At 35.4% G+C, this 18,600-nt stretch overlaps 1 protein-coding gene and 1 long non-coding RNA gene across 4 annotated transcripts in view, besides 1 other annotated feature; one reads left to right on the forward strand and one right to left on the reverse strand.

The window, feature by feature from the left end:
* Positions 1-18,600, forward strand: part of GPC6 (glypican 6) — a 1,191,492-nt gene that overhangs the window by 598,957 nt on the left and 573,935 nt on the right. For all 3 annotated transcript variants that reach the window (XM_047429990.1, NM_005708.5, XM_017020300.2), the window contains exon 3: positions 14,669-15,060. In XM_047429990.1, coding sequence (XP_047285946.1) covers positions 14,669-15,060 — 392 coding nt within the window. The remainder of the gene's footprint in view (positions 1-14,668; positions 15,061-18,600) is intronic.
* Positions 2,763-3,264: an enhancer, noted in NCBI's record as "NANOG hESC enhancer chr13:94470501-94471002 (GRCh37/hg19 assembly coordinates)". NCBI's record gives its function as "activates a minimal SCP1, AML or CMV promoter by ChIP-STARR-seq in naive H9 embryonic stem cells {active_cell/tissue: H9 hESC(naive)}" and the evidence as "EXISTENCE:reporter gene assay evidence [ECO:0000049][PMID:30033119]".
* The window catches only part of GPC6-AS2 (GPC6 antisense RNA 2), a 40,050-nt gene continuing 24,388 nt past the window's right edge, over positions 2,939-18,600 (reverse strand). Inside the window, exons 5-7 of the long non-coding RNA NR_046536.1 lie at positions 15,331-15,470; positions 3,195-3,297; positions 2,939-3,106 (exon numbers count right to left, since the gene is read on the reverse strand). This is a non-coding gene — a long non-coding RNA (GPC6 antisense RNA 2). The remainder of the gene's footprint in view (positions 3,107-3,194; positions 3,298-15,330; positions 15,471-18,600) is intronic.

Consider the following 18,600-nt stretch of genomic DNA (forward strand, 5'->3'; position numbering starts at 1 on the left):
AATAGGTACTGGCAGTCACTAATTGATACTTTATCAAATGATTAAAGATGATTGTTTTTTGTTTCTTGCATTCCAAATGACAATGTTATGAAAGTAAAATAGCCTTCCAAGAACATGAGATTAATGAATTTGACATTTTTCTTTGAGAAGTATCCTGTGAATAACTGACAAAATAAATTTAATCAATGTTAAGCAAATTAGGTTGACATTAAATTTATTCATTTTCATTTAGTTCTTACACAATAATACTTTGTCTCATTATGTAACTACATCAGGATATCTATTGTTTGTTTATTCATCAAAAGTATATTCATTACCTTTGAATGAAGACATCTGTGATGCCACATGAGCCTGATATTTTTTCCTGTTGATAGATTTAAAGACTAAAATGATTTCTAAGACATGGCTTGGGGAGCTGAGCCATCTCTAACTCCTGACATCAATAAGAACCAAGTGTATGGTAAGGAGCAAAGGTGGTAAAAGGTGTCTTAACTTCCTTTACTTTGGTTATTGTTTTCAAATTGTTTGTAGAAACATTTATAGAATTACACAGTTTATCATCTTATTCATCAAATCCCCACCAAAGGCTCTGTAGAGAAAATGAGCAATGACTTTCAATTCATACAGTCATTTAAATCTAAGATTGATTTTTTTTCTTTAGTTTGGTCTGATATCTATAATAATGAACAATGAAATTTTATTGTCTCCTGATTACATCAATTTGGGAAATCCTTTCTCTGCCAAGAAATAGATGGAAATTATCTATATTTTAAAAAGCATTCATTACAATACCAAAACTGCAGATGATCATATTATCAATTAATAATTACCTAACCATCCTGGGGACTATTATTTTATAGACAGCACGCTGTGCTTTAGAGACTACTACTTTCTTCTTTTGTTTATTAAACCCTTTTTACTAATCAGCATTAATTCACTATATTTAGAGTGAAGAGACCCAAATTCTATTCCATGCTACGTTGTTGTTACATTCTGTGATTTTGAGTAAATTACTTGTTTACCTTCTGCCCTCTTTATGCTTTTTTTTTTTTCAGCTTGATTCTTGGATTCTCCATGGTAGAATTATTAGACAAAATACTTCCTATACTTTTAGGTCTTTTAAGTTAAAATAATATTTGTTTTTTTTTCAACTATGAAAATAATTTATAGCCATCTACTTAAATTTTCCATGCCTCGGTTTCCTCAAATGTTAATTTTGGAAAATTAGACAATGTACAGAGGAAAAAAAAACACAAACTATATTCTTCAACCAATTGTAAATCGTTATTATATATTTTGATTTTTCTTAATAGGCATATTCACAAATTATTTACAAAACTGAGATTGTACTGGATATATACTTTCATGTCTTTTGTTTCTATCTTAGCATACTATTACGGTATTATATTTTGTATTAAAAGTGGATTTCATTTGAATCTGGTGAAGCTTATGTTTCAGGTACCTTCCCATTAATAGACCCTTTCGAAGCCTCTGTACCTAATTGTGCCTACTCACAATTGTGTAGAATATTTGTTAAAGGGAGTCCTGTAAATTGCATCAGCATCAATCCTCATAGAATCTGGGTCTATCACTGTAGGCACTAAACCTGGAGGAAGGCTGCCTGGATTTGGAATCCCAGCTCCATCACCTTGGAAGTTACTTAAATTTGCTGTGCCTCTGTTTCCCTAAATGTAAGACGTTGATGATAATAATAACTACCTCATAGGACTGTTGACAACATGAAATCAGTTAATATAAGAATCCCTTGGAATAGTAGCTGACTGATAGTATTTGGTGTTAGCTTTTAAATATTCTTTAAAAATAATTATAAACGTAACAGTATTTTGCAGTGTAGATTTATCCTTCTTGTGAGATTTTCAAATCCTTTTTCATTTTAGCTCATATAAATAATAATGGGATGGATATCTTTGTACACAAATCTTTGACCTTACCTTTGTAATTGAACTATTTCCTTTTATTAGTGTTATTTTCTACTGAAGCATCTTTCATGTCACTATTTATTTAAAAAAGACTTTGCTAATAAATATCAAAGAAGTTAAAACTTATATTTTAAAAAATATAAGTAGTTTAGACTGGGTGCAGTGGCTCACGCCTGTAATCCTAGCACTCTGAGAGACCGAGGTAGGTAGATGGCTTGAGCTCAGGAGTTCCAGATCAGCCTGGGCAACATGGCAAAACACCATCTCTGCAAAAAATACAAAAATTAGCCCAGTGTGGTGGCGTGCACCTGTAGTCCCAGCTACCCAGGAGGCTGAAGTGGGAGGATCCTGGGAGCCCCTGGAGGGGAAGGTTGCAGAGCCGAGATGGTGCCGCTGCACTTCAGCCTGGGTGACAGAGTGAGACCCTGTTTCAAAAAATAATGTATAGATAGATAGATAGATAGATAGATATAAATTTATAAAAATTATACCTATAATATCTATTATAGATATAATTTATTAGTTATACCTATATATATAATACATAAATATATAAGTATATATAAAATAAAAACATAAATTATATACTTATATATTATAGATGTATTTAATTATACAGTATATATAATTTTATATGTTAATATAAATCATATATATTTATTATATGTATATATTATATATAATAATTTATATATACACACACACATAGTTTAAAACAACTCAGAAATGAAGGTAGGATATAGTAGAATATACAAAAATATTACTTTTCAATTTCTTTTTTTAAACTCTCATAATGTTCTACTTACATTTGCTCTTATTTAGACATCTGTGGAACAAGGTAAATTTTTTTATTCTGTGAATTTTCACATTTTTCAGTATTGCCAGTTTTTGATGGACCAGAAAGATATAACCTAAAAACTTAGCTTTCAATTAAGATGTAATATTTTCACAAAATTTTTATATATAATTATGCTTTTACAACTCAGCATTTCTCAATACCTTCAGTTTTTGTTGTCTATGTTATGTGCTTAAATGCACCCTAGGTGGGCCGTGACTGGCATTCCTTTTCCCCTGGTCATTAATTAGCTGGAGGAGTATCAAGCCCTGTTCTTTCCTCTTCCCATGGTATACCCATCCTTCCCGCATCGTGGGACAAGCCCATTGTCCTGTAATTGATGTAAGCAGAGGGAGAGTTGAGAGAGAGTGCTGGGTGCTGATAAATGGGAAAGAAATGGAGGAGAAAGGAAAAGATACCAGCACAGTCTTGTCCTCAGAAGCACTGCTAGTGTTCCTCACATACTGTTGATACTCTTTCATCAATGAAACTCTCTCTTCTCAAGATGCGAATACTGGCTGTCTACAGGGAGTAAAGAGAAGGGAAAGGAAATGAAGGAAAGAATAGAATTGGGAGTTTTCATGATGTATAATATGGCTCCATCCCCATTTCTCCTTCCACTGCCCATGGAACCACAATCATACATCAACTAAAATGAAAGTGTTGGAGAACGAAGAGCTGCAGTGATTCTCAATCTTGGCTGCACACTGGGATCACCTGGGGAGATCAGTATACAAGATATACAAGTATACAAGATATACTGGTACCTGGATCCCACTCCCAGAGAAAATGAATGCAGCCTGGGCATAAAGATTTTTAAAAGTGATTTTAATGGGCACCCTGGGTTGAAAACCACTGAACTGTGTGAAGAAGAAGGAAAAAGTACACTCCATTTGACTGTTCCTCTTTAGTCTCCTTAGAGCCTACACAATCTTTTGTTCCAATAGCCCCAGGTCCTTATCACTGGCTTTTAGCAAAAAACTAGCTTTGGGTCCACATCCCAGATTTGATCCTTGGTGGTTTGTTCTTGGAGTTTTTCCATCTGCTAGTCCAACAAATGTTTAGGTGAAGAAGGAACGGGAGCTGGGGAAAGAACTGGGTTTGTGAACAGGTTAATATATATTGTTAATACTACCATCATGATTTGGAAACCTAATTGCCTCTTACAGTTGAGAAAAAAAAAGCTGGGAATGATTTTAAGTTACTGTTAATACAGTTATATACTTTAGGTGCATAAAGGGTTAAACAGGCATCCCACACTCTGGTTAATGTCATTTCTGAAAGAAAAATGGAAGCAGATTTGCGGGCCAGGCCCAGAGGCCATTTTCTTTAGGCCAGTGCTAGGAAACTGCAATGATGAAAGTCAACTGCGAAAGCATCTCAGCTTTTAATTTTATATTCAGAGCTTAGGGTGAGATAGAAATGCAGTCCATAGGCTCAAAGCAGTTGTTTGCTTTTAGCAGCAACCATCAGCACATTTCAGACTTAATTCATGATTCTGGGAATTAATAGTTTATCTATACCACCATGAGAACATAAATGGCCTAATCAGTCTTTCTTACTTTAAAAGATATCTTTGGGAGAAATAACCTACCAAGAAATAAAACATTTATCAATCTAATGTGTAAAGGATCACTAAGAATAGAAAAAGTTTAACCTTGTGAAATGTGGATTCAAGTCAGCATTTCTACAAACTGCTTTATTGCTTCAAATCTCCCTATATCAACCAATTACATAGTGCTGCTTTTCAGGAAACTTTCATTTTTGCAACTGAATTACACACTTGATTCTGAAAAATCCAGCATTTAGTCTCTTCAGCTGACTGTAGTGGAATTAAATTGAAGTACTTTGGTGCAAGGTATTGATTATTTTTAATGAACATTCATGGTTGTATACTGATGACTTTTCATTAAAAATTTCTTCATGGAAAAGTTTATTAAATTAGACACATTGGAAAAACATAAACTGGTGATGTACAATTGTCCTGAATAATGCATTAAAATACATTATTATATTCTTGATTTACTTGACTTACTGAATAGGAGTATTGCCCTAGAACTCTTGTTTCTACTTATATATAATTTAAGTAAATTTAATTTATAATGTTTAAGAGTTTCCAATACACATTGAGAGTAATATAATACAAAGTGATCCTTGGATTAAATATTGTGAACATTTTTGAATTATGTGTTACAGTATTTTTAACAGCCAATATACTTATGATTTTCTGAAAATAATTCTCCTTGTTTTGTGATGAACATTATATTTTGTTGCAGGGCCTTTGATAGTTTTTGTAAGATGTTAAAAGATAGTTTAAATTTCTATTTTTATTAATTGTCATGAATGGAAAGTTAAAAAAAAAAGGAAATTGTAATAACAATAGTTTTTCTTAACCCAGTATCAAAGTAGGGTTTTTTTTTTTTATTCTTCTTTTTCATCTCTATACTCTTTTAAATGTCAGAGTTACTGTGAGATTTTTTTAAGTCTCCTGGGACTCATTAGACTACAGCCTTAGAAAAATTTAGGAGTGTCTCACTTTAAAATCACTAAATTCACCTGAATCCTCCAAATCATTTACATGATTGAGGGAGTTACTTTTAGATTTTAGCTACCGTGCAAAGGAATATAAAGAGATGAGTGCATTGTGGAGTTTTCAGAGCACATTTTAACATATGAAAATACTGAAAGAAAAGGAACTTTTATTCTACTGTTTATGAGAGAGTTGGCAGACTAATAATTAAACTGTCTTCCTGACTACAAGAATTTAAAGGCATGATATGTTTTGTTGAATTAATTTATCTTTGAATGTCTCACTTAAGATTTTGACCTGCCATGCTAAGGATTGGCAAAATTTTTTGGTAAAGGACTAGATATTAAATACTTTTGTCATTTTATACCACATAAAGTCTCTGTGATATATCATCTTTTGTTGTTGGTTTTTTTCTTTGTATTCAAACAGAAAAATGTGAAAACCATTCTTAGCTCACAGGACTTAAAATAGGTTGCTGACTAGAAGCAACCCCTTCTTGAAACTGTTACGGTATTTCGTAAAGTATGTTCTCTGAAACACTTGTTTTCAAGCTATTTAATAATGTTATAGGGATGAGGGTCCTGAAGAGGAAATAGGCCTGGAAAATACTCATATAGGAAAGGTAAGCAGATTGTCTGCTGGGGACGTTCAGTACTAGAAGCATTGTCCTGGGTGCTGAACCTCTCCAGGGGCCTGGGATGCACAGTTCAGGCGCACAGTCTCTTCCTGGGCTGGTCAAATGTACCTCGAGAAGTACAAATTTAGGACATTGGGATTTTTAAGTGTTGCAATTATAATCATTTGCAACCACAGTACTCAACTGTAAATAACATCCTTTATTAGAACTCCATTTTGGAAGTGGAAACATATCTTTTCTGTATTATATTTGGACAGTCACATCTCACAGTAGATGTACTATGTGATCAGCTTTTTTTGTTCTTCCTCAGTTTCTCTAACTTGTCTTTCCATTGAGATTGCTGAACAAAGTCAGGGCCCCCCTGTCTGTGAGTCTCCTTGGTTGAAACAAATAACATTAATAGCTCTTATTTTAAGGACACTCATTTCCTTAAAGGATAACTATTATAGAGAATTTTAACAAAATGTTAAGACTTACAACTGAATTATATATTTAAGCATATTATCTAACATGAAAATATGATTTCTATGTAATTTGTCAGGGATATGTGAATGTAGTCACGTATATGTATAATTGTTATATGTATATACATATATACATAATATGTATACACATGATATACATAAAGTACATAATATTTTGCATAAAATACATAATATGATATACATAAAATGATTTACACAATATTGTCTGTATATATAAATATACACATTTCATATATACATGTATGTATATACATATTGTGAATTAATTATGATTTACACAATATTTTCTATGTGTACAAATATCATAAAATGAGGCACCATTTTGGCCAAACATTTTAACTATCCTTTTGTAAGCCAGTCACTGTTCTATACACTGTAGTGATAATCCCAGGTTCTGTGTTTGATTTTCTTCTAGCAGAAGCCCCCGCTTTTAGGAAAATATACCAATCCCAGAGGTTTGAGCATGCTCTCCAGGCTCGGTTATCTGCATTAACTACTTAATATTAAGGGGACAATAATCACACATGAAAATTATTATTATTATTTTATTACACTTTACATTCTGAGGTACATGTGCAGAATATGCACGTTTGTTACATAGGTATACATGTACCATGGTGGTTTCCTGCACCCATCAACCCATCACCTACATTAGGTATTTCTCCTAATGCTATCCCTCCCCTAGACCCCCACCCCCCAACAAGCCCCAGTGTGTGATGTTCCTCTCCCTGTGTCCATGTGTTCTCATTGTACAACTCCCACTTATGAGTGTGAACATGCAGTGTTTGGTTTTCTGCTCTTGTGTTAGTTTGCTGAGAATGATGGTTTCCAGCTTCATTCATGTCCTGCAAAGAACATGAACTCATCCTTTTTTATGGATCCATAGTATTCCATGGTGTATAAGTGCCACATTTTCTTTATTATTATTATTATTATTATTATTTTATTATTATTATTATTATTTTCTTTGAGATGGAGTCTCGCTCTGTCACCCAGGCTGGAGTGCAGTGGCACGACCTTGGCTGCCTGCAACCTCTGCCTCCTGGGTTCAAGCAATTCTCTTGCTTCAGCCTCCTGAGGAGCCAGGACTATGGGTGCCTGCCACTATGCCTGGCTAATTTTTTGTATTTTTAGTAGAGACAGGGTTTCACCGTGTTAGCCAGGACGGTCTCGATCTCCTGGCCTCATGATCCGCCTGCCATGGCCTTTCAAAGTGCTGGGATTACAGGCATGAGCCACCATGCCTGGCCGAAAATTACTTTTATAAATAATTTAGGTATGACTTTAGAATGCATTTTGCAATTTATATTATATAAATATGAATTTATCCACTGTCCTAAGAGTTTATAATGCTTCCCATTAATTATTCATATCATGGTCTGAAAATTTGACTTAGGATAGACTACAAAGCCATCCTGCTGTCTTGTTCTTTCCTAGAACTGTTTCTTGTCTATCATCGTTTTGGATCTCTGGGTTGCATTCTGGTTCTATTGATCTAGGGCAACTCACTTAACATTTTGAGCCTCAGCTTTCCTATCTGCAAACTAGATAAACTAATAACTGATTGCCTTGCAAGTAAGTAAAGCCTGTAATAAAATATCTGATGCCCGTTAGAAGTCAGGCAACATCTTAGGTACTATCTTTACTTTTACTTGAAATTAGCATCATTCACTGTTTCAAATCCACTTTTGTCTCCAGTTAAAGTTTGGTATCTTTACTTTTCTCCTAAAATATGACGAAGACAAATGGAAATGATGAAGATGTTCTATTGCCATATTACTGGCATTTTTAATTAGTTTGTGTATATGGAGGGGAGGGACATTTACTTGAGGGTTAAAAATTTGGTTCTAATAACCTCTCAAACAGGAAAGATGTGGATTCCTACTATGAGATCACTTTGAAATTACATAAGCTTTTGTTAAGTCCTAGGAATAATTAGTTGAGTAAATAATAATACTTATAATAAACTTAATTTATAAAAACATACACCTACACACATTCAGAGCAAAGGAAAGTGTGAATTATGAGATGCAGAAGTGGCAAATCCCAAAGGAATTATTGCTTAAAGCAATATTGTCTTTTAATAATCATAGATTTTTATTTCTCCCTTTTAAAATAAACTGTAATTTAAAAAAATCTTTATATAATTTCAACCTCAAAATCTAAAAAATACATTCAAAGAATCTGCTTTTTACACCAAAAAATGCAAGTGATGTTTAAGAAAAAAATACTGAGACAATGTAATATCTATTGGAAATAGTTCTTTTCCTTTTTCCCTTATATAATTGCTTTTTAAAAAAACTGTATGAGTGAGGAAATAAAGGATGCCATAGTCTTGCATATTAAAAACAATACTTGAGCAAAGCCTCAATGTGAGTTTATTCAATACAGCAGATGACTTATTGAGTGGAAGAAGGCTTTATGTGTGAGACTGCAATGTGTGAGACTCAAAAGTGGTTTGGGAATTAACTCTAATGTAGCATGCTGGGCATTGCTTAAATGTAGTATGTGAGTGAATGTGAGTGCAATCAGCTTGGTGAGATAATGCACTATGAAGTCATGTCCCAGCAGGGACAGAACAGCAGAAGCAATCATTAAGCCACGCAAAGAATGGCTCAGGACAGGCAGAGTTTGGAGAGAAAGTCAAGCTCTGGCAGAGCGATATTGATAGCCAACTTTTTTTTTTTTAAACAAAGGCACAATATTATATGCGTAGGTACACATGAACTTGGAGCATGGGGGGTTATACATGAATATTTATATGTGTATAAATGTATAAGAATTTGCAAGATGACAAGAGGGCAAATCAGTTATGTCCTGTTCTAAGATGTGGTTTGTGGGATCTTTCTTTCTCTGAGGCGGGCCCACAAAATCATCACTATCAAAGAGAAGTCCAGAACCAAAGGAGTCAGGATGTATTTCACTGGATGGTCATGTTCATCCATCGATCTATTCATTCATTCACTATTCACCACTTTTTAAGGCACTATCATGTAACAGGCACCATACATGGAAATGGGAGTATTGACTACCGAGAATCTTACTGTGAATACAATCTGTATTTCAATTCCTTCCATTTAAGACACAGCACCTCAAATTTGTATTACAAACAAATCATGGGGTTGATGAGATGTGGTTTAGAAATAGGCTGGCGTTTTCTCTGAATATTTTTAATGTTCTATTAGTAGACCTTGGAATCTATCAGTAGAAGGGTGGCTCTCAGCAGGTGGGGGTAAGGAAGGGAGTGAGAGTGGTCTTGTCCCCAAGAGGACATTTGATAATGTTTGATGACATTTTGGTTGTGACTACTCAGAGAAGGATGTGCCACTGGCATCTAAAAGGTAGAGGCCAGGCATACTACTTAATAATTTACAATATACAGCACAGTGCTCCCCAAACCCCTGCCCAAAGAAAGAATTATCCAGCTCAAAATGAGCACAGTGCTGAAGTTGACACCTGAGATAGACTAGGGTCATCTACTGCTCAATAGCACACAAGCTGCAGCTTGCAAAGGACACCGCCTCATGTGGCAAGGACAGACGTCCTGAGCAATGTCCATCTTTACTCTACTTACTTTCAAGGTCCCAGCCTCTGGGAAGTGGGAAGAGATAGGCCATTTGGGACCATGTTTTCCCTCCCTCACAGTCTAATGCAGAAGAGGATAAATGGCACTGTGGGTCTCCCTTCATTAACGCTCCTCATTAACTCAGCATTTTCCTGCAGATTATATCAGGCTGTTACATAAGCAAGATGCCTTTTGAAAGGAGAAATGATCTCAAAGATATATCTGAAAGCTGACACATGTGTGTGGAATGAGAAAGACTACTCCTCATTTCACCTTGAGAAAGGCAGGAGGGAAGACAGGCTGGTAAGTTTATTGAGTGTCTATGGATCATAACCCTTATAGGATGTCAGCTTTCATCTTTTATTTTTTATTTTATTATTTTCTTTTTTTTTTTTTTTTTTTGAGATGGATCTTGCTCTGTCCCCCAGGCTGAAGTGCAGCAGTAGGATCTCAGCTCATTGCAACCTCCGCTTCCTGGGTTCAAGTGATTCTCCTGCCTCAGCCTCCTGAGTAGCTGGGACTACAGGTGCCCACCACCATGCCTGGCTAATTTTGTATTTTTAGTAGAGACGGGGTTTCACCAGTTTGTCCAGGCTGGTCTCGAACTCCTGACCTCAGGTGATCTGCCCACCTCGGCCTCCCAAAGTGCTGAGATTACAGGCATGAGCCACTGCACCCGGCCGGATGTCAGCTTTCAGAACCAGTTTATCCTCCATGTCAGCCCCTCCTATGGAGCATTCCTTACCCACAGCTTGGCTGGGCTGACCAAACTGATTTATCATACTGTTGTTGAGGGAGAGTAGAAACAAAGAGATTAGCAGATAACTACACAAACATACACAATTGCATACACATGTGTGTATTTCTGGGTTTAAGGAAGGAAACAGCATACCTGCTTCCCACAGTAGGACAAGTGCTATAATCTCGACTGACTAATGACCAAAGCTTTTCACTCCTTGGGTTCCGAAAGGATATAGATTCACACCACCATGCTGTAACATTCATTTTAAGCAAGTTTTTAATAGGAAATGTCTCTGAGAGCATGAAAAAAAATAGGAAAAGGATGTTATATAGTACTTAATCCAATCCTGTACCTAATCCAGCACAGAACATGTTTATCTATGTAGTGTTAACAAGACATTTCTGAGTTGAATGGGAAAAGCTTTTGCTGTGTGATGTAGACTGTAGAGAGCCTCTTGTCTGCCTTTTTCCTTTTTCTGTGCTTCCCCTTGTCCCGGTGTGCCATCTTACCTTTCAGTCCACTTATTTGGAGGCTTCATTTGGAGCCTTTCTCAGTTATCCTTAGGGCACCTCTTGGCTCCTTGGGGTTGGTTTCTGCCCCTTAAGAGGTCTCTCCAAGTGATCAGGCCACATCACACAGACCTTCTTTTTGCTTTTGCAACAGTGGTGGTTTTTATCTACAAGACTGTTCTCCCACTTGAGACAATCTGCCCTGAAGCAAACAGATGTTTGCATTGAGATCTCCCCTCTAGATGAATAAAATCTTCCCAGAGGCTAATGCTGGCTAGGAAAGGTTTTTTGTGCACCTATGAAGCGTAACTGAGCCCTGAGCAACCAACTTTGATGTATATTTTGTGATTGAGGAAGAAGAAAAAATCAAATAGCATTTCTTTCTGCCAAACTGTTTTTTGCAGATAAAAATTTTTGTTGACTGAAGACTTTATCCAATGTGTGCTTTGTCCTCTTCCATTAAAAAGAGTTCAGTTGAGATTGCTTTTTCTTATATTGTCCTTGAATTTTGTTCTCTCTGATGTTGCTTGCACATGATACTTCATCAGTAAAATGGATCACATAACTGTCTTCTAAATCTCCATCTTGTTTGGTTTGCTGAGAAACAATTTTCATCCAAGCATAAAGTAATTAGTTCAAAGAGTCAGATTTCAAAAGGTGGATGTCTACAGTCATGGTGAAAATGAAATGAGTACCCTTATTTTGGGAGGACATTAGCTTTGCCTCAGTACCTTGGATCTCCATTATTCATAAGATCTTAGATCAATGTGCCTTGAGGTAGCAACATTTGTCATAATTGGCTGATACATTAGCGTCTTTCAATACCAAATATTAACTTTGACTATGAGATCAGTAAACCATGTAATGATTTTTAACAAGAAATAATAATAACTTGACTTTGAGGATCAGTGAAGTTAATAGAAAACTTTTGAGACAATGGCATACTCTTAGACAACAATGTAAGCTTGGAATCTAAGAAAATGTTATTTGAGCCGTATTTATTGAAATGTGATAACTTGGTTTCTATACTCAATCACAAATACTAATTTAAACTTGGGAAAAACAAACCACAAGACATAGTGAGTGGGCAGTCTTGTTTGAACCATTCACTTTCAAAGTGGGCATAGCTCAATATTCAGAGTCCTCATATCAGCAGAAGAAAAAATAAAAAAAAACTGAAGGAGGTGTTACCCTCAGTAAAAGAGAAAATGATATTTTTATTCCTAAGACAAACATTTATTTCTCAAGACTTTGGAAAGCAATGAGTATCAGAGAATTTTTTTTTTTCTCTTTCTCTTTTTTTTAAAGCTCTTTGCAAATCCAGACCACACTATTGATTACTATTCATTGCTGAAGGCAGTATTCTGTATTCAATAAATTAAGCTTTAATTCCTAAGTCCAACAAAATAATTGACCTCAAAAAGAAGATAAATGAATAGGCTGCAGAGCTCATGATTAGAATCCACTTTCCAGTCTCATTGTATTAGTATTTTTCAATTCAGTGATTTTCCCATTCTTTTTTATCTTCTTTCACAATCTGTTACGCCTTCCACCCTGTTCCTGTATCAGCAAGGCCAAGCTACTTTCATTCTTGGTTTCCAGATCGGAAGGTTTAACTTATGATATTCTCATACTTTTATATTAATAATTTAATATAGTTTCCATTTTAGGACAAACTAGATAACTAGCATTTTTGAAAAAAGTATGAAATTCTCTTGATTTCCTAAAATGATAAGCAATATCAGCATACAGCATATATAAATATTTTGATAAATTTATGCTTCTCAATTTTGCAAATTTCGCCCTATCTGCTTCAATAGTCATTTTCTTTACCGAATCCCTAAAGATTCAGAGAGATTTAATAATATTCAACTTTATTTTACATTTAGTAAAAATAAAAACCATTTGGTGACCTGGACAAAATTACACAGTATTTGTAATCCCACAGTTTTTGCTGCCACTGTAGCAACAGAATGTCTATTTAAAAATATATATATATTTCATAGAAAGGAGGTAAACAAATGAAAAGTACTTTCATTGCTGCTTTGGTCTGATTTGAAAACAAATATAAAACATTTATCATTATTATAGACACCATTTAATTATCAAGACAATGGTTTGATTGTATATTAATCAGAACTGAAGTGGCTAAACCAAGCACTTCTTCAGCCAACTTCTAAGAATGCACAAGTAGCTTCCATGGAATTAATGGAGAGGTGTTCGTCACTATTTCCTTTCTGTATCTTAGCAGAGAATACCCAGAACCCCAGAAAGGAGAAGAGTCCTTTTAAAAAATTCCTGGAGCTTTTGAAATATGCAGGACTTGATTTGTCCCTGCATTTCTGAGAAGGGGCATAGTTTCAGGCAATAAACGGGGACTATGAAGAGGTAAAGCAGAATCATTTTACTCTTGGGAACTTAGATTGATAACCTCAGAAGCATTATCTTTCCTTAGCTCTTTCCCTACCCCAATTTATAATCTCTAAATGAGATAAAACTTGAACTTGCTCTACCCAAGCTTATTTGTGCAAAAGGATAGGTGCCCTACACACACAAAGTGTGTCTTGAGGGAGACTAGCATGAGGGCCAGTGAGGCTAATGATACCCAATGGCTTTAATTTTTGTCTTATTTTTTTGCATCCTATAAGGGATCCCAGTAACACTCAAGCGCTGTTGCAAAGTGGAAGATTTGAATTATTGGTGTGCACTTTTTCATTTAGAACCTCATAACCAGAAAGTCCAATTGTCAATATTTTATTCAAGTTCTATAACATGATGGTTTATATTTGTAATGATAATCCAAGATACTTTAAGGCTTTCTGACTCATTATGGCCACCTAAATTATGCTCATTATAGCTTTATTATGAAGTGAATTTAATTGCATTATGAATATCTGAACATTGCTAATTGATTGCTATATATAGAAACTAGAAAGAGTCTAAAATATGACATTAATTTGAACATCTCATTTATGGACTATTTCAAATAAAAGCAATTTAATGGAATTTAGTGTTAGGACAAATTTATAAATAAACTGAAGCAAATGTGTTTATCATTATGTAAACAACAATACTCTGCACGTTATATTTGCAATATATTTTGATTTGAGTTTGTATCAAACCATAGGATTATTTAAAATTTAACAAGAAATGATTAAAGAATTGAGCTATTTTGGAGGAGGATTACATGGTAGACTCCTAATGTTAATGGAAATCATGGGGTATTCTGTTTTGAGTTGTACAAGGTCATAGATGTAGGTCAAATCCCATTTAAAATATGTTTTTTATCTGTCCATTAACACCTTAATCACAGGATATGTTTTTCCATGAAAATGTCAATTAAAAGCAGTTGTACTTAAGGTAAGTGGGTGCCTTGGGCTTTCTAGATTTCATTAATTTATGACTTCTTTCTGTTTTATCTGCAGAATTTTTCCGAGAGCTCCTGGAGAATGCAGAAAAGTCACTAAATGATATGTTTGTACGGACCTATGGCATGCTGTACATGCAGAATTCAGAAGTCTTCCAGGACCTCTTCACAGAGCTGAAAAGGTACTACACTGGGGGTAATGTGAATCTGGAGGAAATGCTCAATGACTTTTGGGCTCGGCTCCTGGAACGGATGTTTCAGCTGATAAACCCTCAGTATCACTTCAGTGAAGACTACCTGGAATGTGTGAGCAAATACACTGACCAGCTCAAGCCATTTGGAGACGTGCCCCGGAAACTGAAGATTCAGGTTACCCGCGCCTTCATTGCTGCCAGGACCTTTGTCCAGGGGCTGACTGTGGGCAGAGAAGTTGCAAACCGAGTTTCCAAGGTAATTGAAAACGTGCTTTCTTTCTCATTGGTGTTCCTTGTTTATTCTGTTTTTAAAACCAATGTTTAAAAAAAAAAAAAAAAAAAAAAAAAACCAAGGTAAAAATTCTTAATTGGTGGTCCTTGCTCTTAATCAGTTAAATATCAAAGCATAATTCTGGCTTTCTTTTCCTTGCATTGTGTGAGAGAGAACAGGATTTTAAGCCATTCTATGTGGTTTGAAAATTAATGTTAATACTTATCAGCAGTATAGCAGAGAAGCTTTTAGTACCAATGGTGCAAAAGCAGGCACGTTGCAACTATGATCATTTGATATTTCTGATCAGGGTTTTAAGGATGATAAATACTCATGAAAGAATCCATTCAGAGGTTATAATCCTCTAGGGAGTCAAGATGACAGTCTTCATGGACCTGCGAATGGAGACAAGTTATTGTTCAGGACATCAGCACCTGGCATTTCTTCTTTTTCAACACATGTCAATGTGGCCAAATTCCTTCATGGTAAAAGAAGAGCCCTTTGCTGACACCTGTATTACTGGATTAGGAAGGACTAATGAGTACCAAGTATAGATTCTCCTAGAGAATTTCTTTTGTTACCCCTTATCTTTGTAATTTCATACCATGCATTGCCTTGGGCTTATGAATAAGATCAATCATTAATCTACTTTTGGGCCTTTCTTGAAGATAACATCTCTATACCTTGGATATAAGGGATAATTCTACATTCCACTACTTAAACATTGAATATTTCCTGTGTAGAGGATATCTGCTTTTGTTTAAGTTCTTTCTTGACATTTAAGGCACTTGTGAGGTCAGTCCTCCAAATAAAATGAAAGACAATTACTTAAAGAAGTAAAGTTAAAAATAATACGTAACAGGAATCTGGTATTATGTCACTCCAAGAAGGTGTATTTGTATAAGGATTATTCCCAAACACTACTTTTCTATTGGAGGGCTGTGCCAAAGAGCCACAGTATTTTTCATAACTATTGGTACTGTCCTACAATGCTTCTTTTTTTTTTTTTGACACTTTGGTCTCCTCAATATTTACATCCTAGCATAAAGATGGTGTGTACCCTTACAAATGTTTCTCTATTGCACTGTCAGTAAAATCCGTAATAGCCCATTTTAAATTGTTAATTTCCTAAACGTTTATTTGAGCATACAGAAAGATTATTTCTAGGAAGGCGCTGAAGGAAATAATTACAAGGGCTTATTTATCAATATAAAGGGCATATGATTCTAATGTTTAAAATAATATCTTTGCCGGGCGCGGTGGCTCACATCTGTAATCCCAGCACTTTGGGAGGTTGAGGCGGGCAGATCTCGAGGGCAGGAGATCGAGACCATCCTGGCTAACATGGTGAAACCCCATCTCTACTAAAAATACAAAAAAATAGCCAGGCGTGGTGGTGGGCGCCTGTAGTCCCAGCTACTCTGGAGGCTGAGGCAGGAGAATGGCATGAACCTGGGAGGCGGGGCTTGCAGTGAGCTGAGATCGAGCCTCTGCACTCCAGCCTGGGTGACAGAGCAAGACTCCAACTCAAAAAAAAAAAAAAAAAAAAAAAAAAAAAAAAAATATATATATATATATATATATAATGTCCTTACATTGAATCTCAACAATGTTTTAGATACCAAAGAAACTAGAGCCCCAGAAATGCATTTATAAGGAATTAGCTAGGTAGAATAGCAAGAGGAAATATCATCACCTGAGGACTGTCAGTAAAATATGAATAAGTGTAGAAAATAAATATGCATTCCATATTTTCTTGAGTAGATGCATTTTGTTGTAAAATAAGTGTAAATTAATTTAATAAGTTAAACTCAATAATAGGATTAGTCACAGAGGCTGCAAGCTGAAGCTTTTGATTTTGTTGAAGGATAAACATGTAGCCAGCCTTTGAGAAATATGAATTAAGAAATTCAAAGTATGGATGGATATATGCCTGATTATGTGTATTTATTCTAATTGAGTGTTAATAATGTTTAGATGTGTGTATTATGATCTGGCAAGTTTCCGGTGAGATAACAGAATATTTTCTAGCAAAGTGTCTACAAAGCCATGAGGGAGGCTGCTGCTGGCTATCCCTCCTGTTTTTCAGTGAGTGTCATTCACAACTGCCTAGAGATGGTGTCTCCCCTTGGTCACTCTCTGACTGCCTCAACTGAGGTCTTTGTTGACCAAAGTCTAACACGCTATTCCTTCTGGCGAAGGATGACCTCATGAGCCAACCATCAGTAGAGTATGACCTTTTTCTCTAGAAGTGGTGAGAAATGTATTTTCCAACACTGTATTCTCTCTCCCACTGATCCCTTCAAGACCACCATTCTTTTGCAGAACAATTGCTGTGGGCATGGAATATAGTCCGTAGGTCATTTAACCTTGGAAAGTTAACTGTTCCTTGCAGATATTGGCTTGTTTGACCTGAGTTTCATCATCATCCCTAATCAGTTAAAATTATAAGCCCCATCCTGACATTTGGGCACTGCCTTTTGGAGATGGGTAGAGAGATAGATGGATGGATGGATGGATGGATGGATGGGTAGATAGGTAGATGATAGAGAGAGAGAGAGAGAGAGAGAGAGAGAGAGAGAGAGAGAGAGAGAGAGATGGTATATATATATATAGCCTTGGTTTGAAAGAAGCTGAGCAATGCTTTTGTGAATAATTTGTCTCAGGAATTTAAGTATTTTACCAATGAACTTCCTCACCTAATGATTACAAGATGGTCTAGAGCCGACTAAACTAGCAATTTGTGATCTACTGGTACTATGATGATTTTCAACACCCAAGGTATTTTTGTAATAAGAATAAAATATCACAAAGACTAAATACATTAAGAAGAGAAGCAAGAATTGTGTTTGAGGTTTAAGCCCTTCATAAACCTGAAGCCTCTTTATGGTCTATTAATTGAGTGATTTAGAGTTGGAGAAATGATGACAGAAGAGTTAGAAAACTCAAAGCAAAATTCCCAAATGGAGATGAACAAACTAGCTTATCTCCTGCATCCTGATTTGAGTGATTTTTTTTTTTCTCTTCAGTTTCTCTCTACATTTATGGTGACTTTTTAATCTTGAAAGACATCATGAATATCTTCTAATTAATTGCTTTGACTGGAAAATTTACCTCTTTGGCAGAACACAGCAGTTTGACACAAATGTTTTGACATAATGTTCAGAACATTATTGGGAAATTTCTTACCAGAAAAATGGAGGTCTAAATTGTAAGCATCAACAGAATTATTTTTAAAACTTCTGCTTGCCATCTTATGGATACAAACAGTCTTTTTCTAGCCTTCAGATGGGGCCAGTTTATTTTAAGTAACTATAACTCTAGGTCTGACTCTTAGAAGCACCATGTGACTCTTAGAAGCACTATGTGATTCTTAGTGAATATCTATGGTCAGCCAGCCAGGATTCATTTTCTGTGTGAATGACCATTTTGAGCATGTCAAGTGTTGATGAGAGGTGGAATATCAGGAACCTCCATGCATTGCTGGTGGAATTATCAATTTATATGCTCACTTTAGATAATAAT

This window comes from Homo sapiens, chromosome 13 (assembly GCF_000001405.40).
Source record: "Homo sapiens chromosome 13, GRCh38.p14 Primary Assembly".
Lineage (NCBI taxonomy): Eukaryota > Metazoa > Chordata > Mammalia > Primates > Hominidae > Homo > Homo sapiens.